This window comes from Homo sapiens, chromosome 22 (genome assembly GCF_000001405.40).
Source record: "Homo sapiens chromosome 22, GRCh38.p14 Primary Assembly".
Lineage (NCBI taxonomy): Eukaryota > Metazoa > Chordata > Mammalia > Primates > Hominidae > Homo > Homo sapiens.
In genome coordinates, this window is record NC_000022.11 from 20,638,930 (window position 1) to 20,652,260 (window position 13,331).

The 13,331-nt window shown below is 47.8% G+C and overlaps 1 pseudogene, besides 3 other annotated features; it reads right to left on the minus strand.

Moving 5' to 3' along the window:
* On the minus strand, positions 143–11,554 carry LOC100421121 (small G protein signaling modulator 1 pseudogene; annotated as a pseudogene).
* Positions 5,143–5,699: an enhancer, noted in NCBI's record as "NANOG hESC enhancer chr22:20998359-20998915 (GRCh37/hg19 assembly coordinates)". NCBI's record gives its function as "activates a minimal SCP1, AML or CMV promoter by ChIP-STARR-seq in naive H9 embryonic stem cells {active_cell/tissue: H9 hESC(naive)}" and the evidence as "EXISTENCE:reporter gene assay evidence [ECO:0000049][PMID:30033119]".
* Positions 10,027–10,533: an enhancer, noted in NCBI's record as "H3K27ac hESC enhancer chr22:21003243-21003749 (GRCh37/hg19 assembly coordinates)". NCBI's record gives its function as "activates a minimal SCP1, AML or CMV promoter by ChIP-STARR-seq in naive H9 embryonic stem cells {active_cell/tissue: H9 hESC(naive)}" and the evidence as "EXISTENCE:reporter gene assay evidence [ECO:0000049][PMID:30033119]".
* Positions 11,324–11,524: a silencer, noted in NCBI's record as "peak4458 fragment used in MPRA reporter construct". NCBI's record gives its function as "represses an SCP1 promoter by STARR-seq MPRAs in K562 erythroleukemia cells {active_cell/tissue: K562}" and the evidence as "EXISTENCE:reporter gene assay evidence [ECO:0000049][PMID:32103011]".

Consider the following 13,331-nt stretch of genomic DNA (forward strand, 5'->3'; position numbering starts at 1 on the left):
GGAGGAGATCTTCAATTTGCATATGCAGAATCCAAACAAGTCATCTTGAGTCCCCACAAGTAGGTGGGCTTATTTCTCACATAACAAAATCGCCCCTCCTTTGCAGCCTCTACACCACTGCAGATCAAGCCCAGCTAAACCTTGCTGTGCTATCCTGAAGGTATTGCTCCCAGATCCCGGCTGTCAGCTCCTGTCCAGCATCACAGGGCAAGTCCAGAGACATGATCATGTAATTGACCAGGGATGACAAGTGGGTCCTCTCAGTGGACAGGTGTCTGCAGTAGGTAAGCCCTGTCAGGAGAGGAAAGAAAAGCATCATCATCTACCACCTGATACCCTTTGCCCTGTCTTATGGAGTCCCCAAAGTGCTGTCCCACACTCCCATCTTTATTTTTTTATTTTTCTGAGACGGTCTCGCTGTCACCCAGGCTGGAGTGCAGTGGCGTGATCATGGCTCACTTCAGCCTAAGCCTCCCGTGCTCGAGCAATCCTCCCATCTCAGCCTCCTGAGTAGCTGGGACTACAGGCATGTGCCATCATGCTCAGCTACTTTTTAACCCCTCCTTTTCTTCACAAGGAAGGCAAGGCTTGATGTCACTTGCTGGCTGAATGGCTTAATAGCTCTACAACCCTAGGGAAGTCTTATCACCTTGCTCAGCCACAGTCAGGGTGATGCCATCCTCCTCTGCTGGAAGCCAAAACATTTAATTGATAGGCTGGAGGCAGAGAAGGGACAGGAAAGAAGGTGGCCAATGACTCTGTGGCCTTGCTGTGCCTTTGTCTGCCTCCAATCCATACACAGAGAAAGACACTGTGAGATGTGGACAACTTTCTTTCAAATATCAGCTGAATACAGGTATTCATCCAAAAGAAAGGAAATCAGTACATCAAACAGTTATCTGCATGCCCATGTTTACTGCAGCACCATTAACGATAGTACAAAATCAACCTATGTGTGGAGGAATAGTACAGAATCAACCTAAGTGTCCATCAATGAATTGACAGTTAAAGGAAATGTGGTATATGTATGCAATGGAATATTACTCAGCCATGAAAAAGGATGAAATCCTGTCACGTGCAGTAACATGAATGGAACTGAAAATCATTATGTTAAGTAAAAAAAGTGAGGCACAGAAAGACAAATATCACATGTTCTCAGTCATACATGGAAGCTAAAAAAGTATTTCTCATGAATGCGGAGAGTAGACTGGTGGTTACCAGTGGCTGGGAAGGGAAGAGTAGGAGGGGAATGAAGAGAAGTTGGTTAATGGTACAAAAATCCAGTTAGATGGAATTAAGTTCTTGTATATTATAGTAGGAAAAATATAATTAACAGTAATTTATTGTATATCTCAAAATAGCTAGAAGAACTGTAAAGTTCCCAACATGAAGAAAACATAAATGTTTGAGGTGATGGATGTTCCAATCACCTCAAACGTGATAGATCAATACGCAGTGGATCTATCAAAATACTACATGCACCCCCAAAATATGTACAACTACAGTATATCTATTACAAATTTTTTTAAAAAGAGGGCCGGCCGGGCACAGTGGCTCACGCCTGTAATCCCAGTGCTTTAAGAGGCTGAGGTGGGTGGATTGCTTGAACCCAGGAGTTCTGGACTAGCCTGGGCAACACAGTGAAACCCAGACTCTACAAAAAATAAGCAAACTTAGCTGGGTGTGGTGGCGTGTGCCTGCAGTCTCAGCTACTTGGGAGGCTAAGGTGGGAGGATTGCTTAAGCCTAGGAGGTCAAGGCTGCAGTGAGCCAAGATCTTGTCTCTAAAAAATAAAATCGGCTGGGCGTGGTGGCTCACGCCTGTAATCCCAGCACTTTGGGAGGCCGAGGCCGGTGGATTGCCTGAGGTCAGCCATCCTGGCCAACATGGTGAAACCCCGTCTCTACCAAAAACACAAAAATTAGCCGGGCATGGTGGCACACCCCTGTAATCCCAGCTACTTGGGAGGCTGAGGCAGGAGAATTGCTTGAGCCTGGGAGGCAGAGGTTGCAGTGAGCCGAGATCGCGCCACTGCACTCCAGCCTGATTGACAGAATGAAACTCTGTCTCAAAATAAATAAATAAATAAATAAAACAAAATCAGATAAAAATAAAACAAAATTGCAGCTGGATTAAAAAGGCCCCAGTAAGTCAGGAACCAGGGAGAGAGATACTGAGGGGGCAGCTTGCTTTCAATGATGGTCCTGCCTCAAAAGCACACCTACCAATGTGCCACCCCTTATCTGTCACACCCTGTCACCTGGAGGGTGTTAGGCAAAGTGCCTCAGCAAACGCCAGCCCGTGCTGTTTGCTCTGGCTGTGCCCTTTCCTTCTGGCGTTCCCCAGCCATTTCATCCTCAATTCCCAGTGAGAACCCTGGACATTTTGCAGCCTGGGGACTAAATTCTAACAGGAGGGTCAATCATAGCAATGATGATGATGATGATGACCACGATGATCTAATAGCTAATACTTACACAGTACACACTATGTGCCAGGGAGCTGTTAGCAGAGTTTGCATAACTCAGTCTCGCCACAACCCAAGAAAGCAGGCGCTACTGTTATTTCCATCTTATGGATGGGGTAAGTTGAGGCCCAGACTGGTTATGTCACTTGCACAAGTTACATAACTGGAATCTGAAACCAGATCACCTGGCTCCAAAACCTGGGCTCTCAACCACCATCAGCCATGAGCCACATCATCTGATGACATTATTCCAGACCCGTATCAACCCCCAACCCTTCCTGCAGGAAGATATTTCATTTGGGTCCAAAAATACTTGCCCAATGCCTGCTCCACGCCAGCCCCTGCATTAGGCAAAAACGTGGATTGTAACGGAACAGGCAAAACCTTTGTCCTAGTAGAGTCACGCTCTCCCCGCCTCTGCAGCACTCAGGTGAGCTGCACTGTGGTTTCACAGGCCCATGCAGGTGTGTGTATAGCTGCAGGTTTTATTTCCCTAGCCTCACAGCCTCAAGAGGAGAGATAAAATGTGTATATTCAGGGATGGAAAACACACACACATTTTCTCTCTCCCATCAAGGCTGTGAGGCTACGGAAATAAAACCTGCTAAGAATAAATATACGGAGAAGAAAAAACAAAGCCTTGGAGTCAGGCCAGAGTCTGAGTCCCAGCTCTGCTGCTTGGTAGCTGTGTGACCTTGGGCAAGTCACTTTGTCTCTCTGTGCCTTAGTTTCCTCATCTGTTAAGTGGGAACAATCAGAATACAGATACTAGGAATTTAATTTTTAAGTTTTGGGGGAGGCATAACGTCACTTTACTCTTCTGCTTCTGCCCATGACAGAAGGAAACTGACATTTACTGAGCACCTACAGTATGCAAGACTAGCTGCCAGGGGCTTTCTACATGCTCCTCACTTAATCCTGAAAACAAACCCTCCACTGTGGCACCTGGGGGTACAATGGTGATTTAATGAAACCTCTGTCCCCAGGGGTCCCCATTGTTCACTGCCCTCTCTTAGGACTCAGGCATAAAATTTATCCCCAATCTGTAGATGATGAAACTGAGGCTCAGAACGGTTCATGTAAATTCACTGAAACCAGGCATTCAGGTAATAGAGGAGGAGAGGTTCAAGCTCCAAAGCCAGTATCTCCTGGTATCGCTGACATAGAGTAGGCACTGATAACTGCCCCTCGGAGACTACACGGCAACAAAGACCTATGTACATCCATAGAAGGCTCTGCAGAGGATCTGGTACTTCATATTGTCACAAGAGAAGTTTCTGGGGAGCCCTGCAGGCAGAGAAGGAGGGAGATGCTTAGAATAGATTCAAACACAGCCCAGGTTTTTTGGAGAGGAGCACAACTTGTTATCTCTAGAGGGTAACTGAAATCAGCCAGTCATGAGGAGTGCAGGGAGGGTGCTATTACCTCCACCTTTACAACATCACCTCTTCCACTACCAGTGACCCAGTTTGCCCTTGAGAAATCACTCCGTCCACAACTTTCTGTCTCCGGTTTCTAAAGGGATGACTCTACCCATTTATAGGACCAAAGCTGGAGTCATAGTAATGGAAGCGGAGATTGTCATATGACCCAACCTGAGCCAATGAGAATTAGGCTTGGGACTTTCATTGTAACTACCAGGAAAAAGTCTTTTTCTGCTTCAGTTTCTAAACCAGTGGGATACAGGACAGTAGCTCCTAGGAGCTATCTTTGCCACAACATAAAAAGGGCCTGCCTGTGGATGGAACCATCACAGAGGGAAGCAGAGCCAAGAGCTGAAGAAACAGAGATTCCCGTCTCGAGCATCTGAGCCTGAAGCCACTATGACTCTAAGCTTCTGTTATGCCAACAATTTTTTTTACCTGAACCAGTCTGAAGTGGGTTTCTATCACTTGCAGAAAGAGTTCTGATTTCTTTTTTTTTTTTTTTTTACACAGAGCCTCGCTCTGTCGCCCAGGCTGAAGGGCAGTGGCGCGATCTCGGCTCACTGCAAGCTCCACCTCCCAGGTTCACGCCATTCTCCTGCCTCAGCCTCCCGAGTAGCTGGGACTACAGGTGCCCGCCACCACGCCTGGCTAATGTTTTGTATTTTTAGTAGAGACGGGGTTTCACCGTGTTAGCCAGGATGGTCTCGATCTCTGACCTTATGATCTGCCTGCCTCGGCCTCCCAAAGTGCTGGGATTACAGGCATGAGCCACTGCACCCGGCCGAAAGAGTTCTGATTTCTAAAGTGACCCAGCTGAACCAAGAGCCAAACTGGGATTCAGTATCTGGCTGTTTGCTAAGTAGGTGATGCCTCAAGGATTCTCCCTGCATGGGAATTTGTGGCAACTTTTTTGGCTGAAAGAGGCAAGAGGAGTAAGGTACCAGCATTGCTGGATAAATCCAGGACTGCTGAAGGGAGTGTTGTACGCTCTTGCAATGAACAGAATGGAAGAATATCGGCATATTTATTCTCAGCACATCCCAAAGGACATCCAGAAAAATCCAGGGAGACTGGGGTGGGGGAAACATAGCCGAAGTCCTCTAGTTAGACATGTGAACTCCAAATATGAGAGACAGGTCTCAGTTAATTTAGAAAGTTTATTTTGCCAAGGTTGAGGATGTGCGCCCACGGTACCGCCTCAGGAGGCTCTGACGACATGTGCCCACGGTGGTCAGAGCAGTTTGGTTTTATACATTTTAGGGAGATATGAGACACCAATCACCGATCAATGTATGTAAGATGAGCATTGGTACTGTTCAGAAAGGCAAGACAACTTGAAGTGGGGAGGAGGCTTCCAGGTCATAGGTAGATAAGAGACAAACAGTTGCATTCTTTTGAGTTTCTGATGAGCGTCTCCAAAGGGGGCAATCAGATATGCATTTATCTCAGTGAGCAGAGGGGAGACTTTCAATAGAATGGGAGGCAGGTTTGCCTTAAGCTGTTCCCAGCTTGACTTTTCCCTTTAGCTTAGTGGTTTGGGGCCCTGAGATTTACTTTCCTTTTACAGGCACATGGAGGCATTGAATACTGAAGTGTCCCACTTTGTGCCCTCAGGTTGGTGAGGCTTACAGTTGCTCAGGTTACATGAGAATAGGGTCACATAAACAGCTGTCCCACTGTGGGCTTGGTTTTCTGCAAGGTACTGAGTTCCCCATTATGCCAGGTGTGTAAGCAGACGCTGTAACAGGAGAGAGGGCAGTAAGTTATGGCAGCATTTTTTTTCTTTTTTCTTTTCTTTCTTTTTTTTCTTTTTGAGATGGAGTTTTGCTGTTGTTGCCCAGGCTGAAGTGCAATGGCGTGACCTTGGCTCACCACAACCTCCGCCTCCCAGGTTCAAGCGATTCTCCTGCCTCAGCCTCCCGAGTAGCTGGTATTACAGGCATGCGCCACCACACCCAGCTAATTTTGTAGGTTACAGCAGCATTTCTCACTGGTCCATGGACCATCAGCCTAACAGTTACTTGCAGTTGCTCCAACATGTGTATTCCTGGGCCCTGCACAGACTTAATCAGAACTTCTATGAAGTAGTCTAGGAGCTGGCATGTTTTGCTACCTAGCCCAGGGGATTCTGATGCACAATAAGAGAATATCCGGTAACATTAGCACTTCTCAATCTTAAAAGTACACACATGGTCTTGGGACTACGTTAAACACAAATTCTGATTCAGAAGGTTTGGTATAAGAGACTGACCATCTGCCCGGTGCTGATGCTGGTTCACAGGCCACAGTCTGAGGAGCCAGGAGCTTAGATGATGACTTCAACAATGTAATGCCAGCCCTCACACCGTACACTCCTATGGCTGAAGACTGGACCACACACTGGTACAGAAGACCAGCAAGGACAATAGGGTTCCATTCTACCAGGCAAGGCCAGGAGGAAACAAAACCAGTCTCATGAACTGGCTGAATAGTTCCAAAGAGACAAAAGCTCTATGGGCAAAGAGAGAGATGCGCCTGAGATTTAAGTTTACATGATAAAATGGTAACTGTTATTTACTGAACAGTACTGTGTGCAGGTGGCATATTCTGGCCACTTTAAACCATTATCTGAGCTGGCATTTACCATAGCCATATAAAGTAAGCACCAGAATCTCCACTGTGTGGAGGAGCAAACTGAGATGAATGTGGTTGACATTAAATAATATTTGAGATTATTCTGCCTTCTAGGCTCATGGTAGGGCTGCACTTCCTGGCTCCTTGTGGATGGGGCCAATGAGCTGTGGGTGGGTATGACATGCTAATTTTGGGTGGGGCCCTTTTATTGTGGGTTCAAGCCCCTCCAATGCTACCTTTCCCTGTCACTGTGACTGGCAACATTCAAATGATGGCTGCTCCAACAGCTGGACCCTTTGGTGTGGAAAAAACAGAGCCTCACCATTTGACCTATGAGAGACACACAGCATGCATGATAAATAAAATTTGTTGTAAAAAGCTGAGTTTTAGGACTGTTTGTTACTGCACCATATAACCTTGTATAGCCTGACTAATACACATAAGTTTCAACAGCTAGAATTTCACAAGGCCAGGATTTAACCTAGATCTGGTTGACTCCATAGTCTATGTTCACTCAATTCAATGTAGGGAAAGATACTGGCATCCACAAATCTCAGCCGAACCACTCTGTCAACAGAATGAGAAGGACGATTTCCAGGAGCTGGGCTGACATAGGAATGAGAGGTTACTCATGGAGACATCCATCAGATCCTGGGGGACTGTGGTGAGTAGAACAAGAGCCCTGGTCAAGCCTATGTGGGTCACAGAAACCTCATCCCAGAGCAAGCAGCTCATCCCCAGGCCAGCACAGGGATAGGGAAAGACCCTGGAGGTGACAGCAGAAAACAGCAGCCCCAATTATAGTCTGACCCAGGCTATTGAGCCCACCTGACCCAATGAAAGCCACCACCAAAATCTGGGGGCTCCAACAGATAGGCAGAACTGATGACAACTGAAGAGAGAGGAAGAGAACAGAGAGAGACAACAGCCAAGAAAACAGGCCCTATCCCAGAGCAGGCCAAGCCTCACCATGTTGTCACTTAGTCATGCTCAAAGGATGCTACAGGAAGGAAGGGGCACCTGCTGGGTGCTTCTGTAGAAGAGGCAGGCCTCATGGGGTACGATGAAAGGGAGCCTGACTCAACAGATGAGGCAGGGCACCCATGGGCAAGAGACCCAGTGGAGCCGCTGCTAATGAAAGAAAAGGGTACTTGCACTATCCATGGTTCTGAGGCTAAAGCTGCTCCACCAAGTGGGTCTCAAACATATTAGTGACAATAGCTGTCGCTTTGTACTGAGTGCAGGTACCATCATTATACCCTTTTCCAGATTAGGAAGCTGAGACATGGAGAGTTTAAACAACACGCCCAAGGCCACCCAACTAACAAGTGGTGGAGCCAAGATCCCAGCCCAGGGGATTTGACTCTTCTTCTGAGACTGAGTCTTGCTCCGTTGTCCAGGCTGGAATGCAGTGGTGCAATCATGGCTCACTGCAGCCTTGACCTCCCAGGATCAAGCAATCCTCCCTCCCCAGTCTCCTGAGTAGCTGGGACTACAAGTGTGCATCACCACACCCAGCTATTTTTTCTGTATTTTTTTGTAAAGACAGGGTTTCACTGTGTTGCCCAAGCTGGTCTCAAACTCTTGGGCTGAAGTGATCCTCCTGCTTTGACCTCACAAAGCACTGGGATTACAGCGTGAGCCACTGAGCCTGGCTCAGGGATGCGACTCTGATCTTACTCTTCCTCCCTCAGCTGTGTTCCCATAGGCTCTTGTGGCTACACAACATCTGCTCTGTCCTCAAGTGGGGTGATTCTGTCGATGTCTGGAGAGACTTTGGTTTGCCATGCCTTGTGGATTAACTAGGTGCTACTGGTGTCTAGTAGGTGGAGGTCAGGGAGGCTTCTAAACACTCTATAATACACCAGACAGCCCTCAACACAAGGAATGATTTGGCCTCAAATGTCAACAGTGCTGAGGCTGAGAAAACCAATGTTAGACCAGCACTATCCAACAGAAATACAATCAAGTGGTCAAGGCCCGGTAGCTCACATCTGTAATCCCAGAACTTTGGGACGCCAAGGCAGGGGGATTGCTTGAGCCCAGGAGTTTGAGTTTAGCCTGAGTAACACAACAAGACCTTCTACAAGAAATCAAAAAATTAGCTGGGCATGGTTACACATGCTGTGGTCCCAAGTACCCAGGATGCTGAGGTGGGAGGATCGATTGAGCCCAGGAGGTCAAGGCTGCAGTGAGCCATGATCTCACCACTGCACTCCAGCCTGGGCACCGAGGCCACACTACCCATAGGCTGCTCCCAGCCAGAAGCGAGCATGCTAGGTACTAGTGCCACCTGTTCCTGCAGGCAAGAGAGTCCTCTAATAGTCAACAGTCCACCAGAGACTCCCAACTGATCTGGCCAAATGTTCCTAGAGCTGTGTGTTGTGTCTCAGACTCCTCCTGCCCAACCTTCTTCCTTCACCCTCTCCCCTTCATCAGCTGGCTTACTGTTCACTTCAAGGTCAAGACATTGGCTGTCTGATGCAGGGACATCCCTGGCACGGCCTCCATGGTCATCTAGCAAGGGGAGGGTGGAGCAAAGGCTTGGTCCCATAGCATATATTCACCCATCTCCTTGTCCATTTGTTGTCTTCCAGCAGAATGTAAGCTCTGAGAAGGTAAGCAGTTTCCTCTCCTTTCCTACAACTGCTGTCTTCCTTGTATCTAGCACAGTGGCTGGCACAGGCTAGGTGCTCAGTAAATATCTGGTGAATGAACCCAGGTCCCCTGAATTCTCTGCTTCATTTCACAAAGCTGATCTGAGCACCTATTAGGTCTACAAGCTGTGGCAGGTATTGGGGATAAGATCTGAGCAAGACAGGACCCTTGCCTTCAAGGCACTGAGTTCTCAAAGGCAAGATGGTAGCTATACAGCTAGGCACAGAATTGTGTGACTACAGACTATGGCCACAGAGCTCCTCCTTGCTGACAGCTGGTGGGAGCTGGTGTTGGCTTTGTTTACTGAGCATCCCTACAAAGGGATTTGGGGCTTATGTAATCTGAACTCAACCAGAAGGTCAGAGAAGGCTTCAGACCAAAGTTTAAGATAAAGAGGCTGAGGCAAGGCTCCAGTCCCAGAGCATCCCCAGGAGGCCTACCCTGTTCTTCCATGAATGTCTCTTGATTAGAAACTCTAGAGTCTAGGAGGTCAAGGTGGGAGGAACACTTGAAGCCAGGAGTTCAAGACCAGCCTGGACAACAAAGCAAGACCTCATCTCTATAAAAAATAAAAATTAAAAATAACTAAAAATAAAATGAGAGACAGAGAGAGAGAGAGAGAGAGAGAGAGAGGACAGACCAGCCTAGGCAACATGGTGAAACCCTGTCTCTACAAAACATACAAAAATTAGCTGGGTGTGGTGGTGTGCACCTGTGGTCCCAGCTACTCGGGAGGCTGAGGTGGGAGAGTCACTTGAGCCTGTGAGGCAGAGGTTGCAGTGAGCAGGGATCGTACCACTGCACTCCAAGTCTAGGTGACAGAGCAAGACCCTGTCTCAAAAGAGAGAGAGAGAGATTGTGAGAAACAGCAGAGTCTGACTGGAGCTGAATTATTGAGCTCAGCCTGGGACCAACTGTCCCACCCACTGACCAGCACTGAGGACAGAGGGTAAACCCTGCAAAGGAACATTTTTCATCACTCCAAGACCTGATGTTAACCACACTGAGGCTTCACATTACACAGAACACAATGACAATGTTCTGGTTATGTTTCTTGAAAAGAGTTTTTTTTTTTTTAGAGATACACATTAAAATATTTACAGATGAAATCATATAATGTCTGCACGTTGCTTCAGAATAATATTACAGGGGAGAAGGGATAGGCTGATTCAGGCCATTAGGGCCTGGTGAAGGTACCCGAGTTCTGTCTATCTTTAGGTTAAAACTTTTTCATCATAAAAGGTTTCCTGAAAAAAGCAAGAAAATGTAAAAATATATATATATAGATTACATGTGGACTTGGAGCAGCCAACACCATTGCTTCCTGTCCCCACCAGCAGCCAAGACTCCTCAAGCTGAAATACTGGGGTCGGCCACACCTTTGCACCACAGCTTCCTTTGTTCTTCCTGAAGTCTTTCCTAATTGTGCTGGAATGCAGGCATTGCAGCAGGGAATCCCCTGTTCCAAAGCCTTTGCTGGATTTTTTTTTTTTTGAGGCGGAGTCTCGCTTTGTCGCCCAGGCTGGAGTGCAGTGGCGCCATCTCGGCTCACTGCGAGCTCCGCCTCCTGGGTTCTCGCCATTCTCCTGCCTCAGCCTCCTGAGTAGCTGGGACTACAGGCGCCCGCCACCACGCCCGGCTAATTTTTTTGTATTTTTAGTAGAGACGGGGTTTTACCGTGTTAGCCAGGATGGTCTCAATCTCCTGACCTCGTGATCCGCCCACCTTGGCCTCCCAAAGTGCTGGGATTACAGGCGTGAGCCACCGTGCCCGGCCACTGGATCTTATAAATCACAGGATTTCAGAGGAGATGCGGCCCTGGATCAGATACTAACATCTTATGTCTTCCCTTGAGTGCTGGGAAAGGGGAGGTTGGAGACTGGGAAACATTTTGCCATTTGCAGTCTTAGGAGATCTTTGTAAAGATTTCTCCCTCTGGCTGGTTTTGACCAGGATATTGCCAAATTCCACGTCTTGGTTTCTGGATCCTCCCGAGCCTTTGAGTTTCCCGTGAGGCCACAGCTGTAGGGAGGCTGAGCCAAGTGGCCATAACAACCAGGCAGAGTAGCAGGAAGAAGCAGGGGCAGGGTACAAGCCTCCCCCTCAGGAGGGGAACTTCCCTGTGCCAAGGGGAATGAAGGGACCCAGGAGATGCACAGCAGACCCAGTGCCCTACCTCTTTTTATAGTCCAGGTCCCCCACAGACCCCTTTATCAGCTGGCTTACTGTTCACTCCAAGGTCACGACAGTGGCTGTCTGATGCAGGGACAGAAATCCCTGGCACAGCCTCCATGTTGTCCCTCTGCAGAGACAGGAGGACTCAGGCCTGGCCATGATGCTGGAGTCACCGTGGATATAGGCCCTGGCCCATTTGACTCAAGAACACATACATAACTGGAACCAAGAGGCTGGCGAATCCTCTCAAGACCCTGGCCACTTGGAAGACCCTAAGCCTCCTTGCAGGTGGCCATACTAAGCAAAGTCACTTGCAGCCACCCTTCCACGATGCGTTCTACATCACCCAGCTGTGAAAACCACCCACCCCCATCCCCATCCCCTTCACACTCATGCCTTCCTCCTGAGCTCAAGGGGCCCTGGCCCAAGGTTCCTTTAGAACCAGGAAGGAGGTTTTGTCCCTCTGAAAATCATCCTTTTCAAACAGAAGGCATTTATCTTGGCCAGGCTTAAAAGACAAAAAGATGATAGCTGAGCTCTAGGGCCCATCCCACAGACAATATCCAGAAACCTTCTCCCCACAATTCCCACACCAGCCTCCCAGCAGCTGGATCTTTTCTCCACGGGATTTGCCTACAAGACTTCTCTCCGGCTTTATCTCAGGCGGGTTTGTCAGGGGAGCAATGTCACCATCCCTCCACCAAATTCACCTCAACAACATTTACTGAGCACCAAGTGTGTCCCCACCGTGGCTCAGCCTTCCCACGCACTGTCCTGATTTAACCCCACGTGCTTATAACCCAAGGGAGAATCACTGCGATATTTTATCAATGTAAAGACACACATCTTAATTGTTCATATTTTCATGCACCTGAAATTTGGGTAGGTCTTCTAATTACAACTGTGACATGGCTGTCCCGCCTGGTCCCATACAGACTCAGTCACAGCAGTTCATAGCATTGTCACTTTAATTAAGTTTTGGGCATGGTTGTTACTTCAAATGTGGAGTGTAGGTGCTATTTTAAATGTCTTCAAAAAGATTCAACTGTGATTCAGCTTTGAATTGAAAAGCTATTGTGCACACAGGAAGCCTGGGAACAGAGCAGCAGAATGCCTGTGCGATGCTGGCGAGGCAGACACATATTCATCCCTGCAGACAGGCCCACAAGTCCAGATTTTCTTGCAAAGCACCAACCAAATACTTAAAAACTTAAAATGGGACTTAAAAACCATCCCAGGCTGGGCACAGTGGCTCACAACTGTAATTCCACAGCTTTGGGAGGCCTTCAGGATTACTGAAGCCCAGGAGTTGGAGACCAGCCTGGACAACATGGTGAGACCCCCATCTCTACAAAAAAAAAAAAAAAAAAGAAAAAAAAGAAAAAACTTAAAAATTACCTGGACATGGTTGTATGTGTCTGTAGTCCCAGCTACTCAGGAGGCTGCGGTGGGAGGATCGTTTGAGCCTGGGAGTTCCAGGCTGCAGAAAGCTACGATTGTGCCATTGCATTCCAGCCTGAGCACCAATGAGATCCCATCTCAAAAACAAAACAAAACATCCCCGGGATGAGTGGACACACTTGCAAGAAATGCCTCACTTCCTGTGCTTCTCGATTAGGGGCCACCAAATGTTTCATGCAAAGGGTGATAGGGAATATTTTTGGTTTGTAAGCTACACAGGCTCAGCTGCAACCACTCAACTCTGCCATCAGGGCCTGAAAGCAGTCATAGGGTTGTAACTATGCTCCAACAAAACTTTTTTTTTTTTTTTTTTTTGAGACGGAGTCTCGCTTTGTCACCCAGGCTAGAGTGCAGTGGTGCGATCTCGGCTCACTGCAACCTCCGCCTCCTAGGTTCATGCCATTCTCCTGCCTCAGCCTCCCAAGTAGCTGAGACTACAGGTGCCCACCACCGCACCAGGTTAATTTTTAAAATATTTTTGGTAGAGACGGGGTTTCACTGTGTTAGCTAGGCTGGTCTTGATCTCCTGA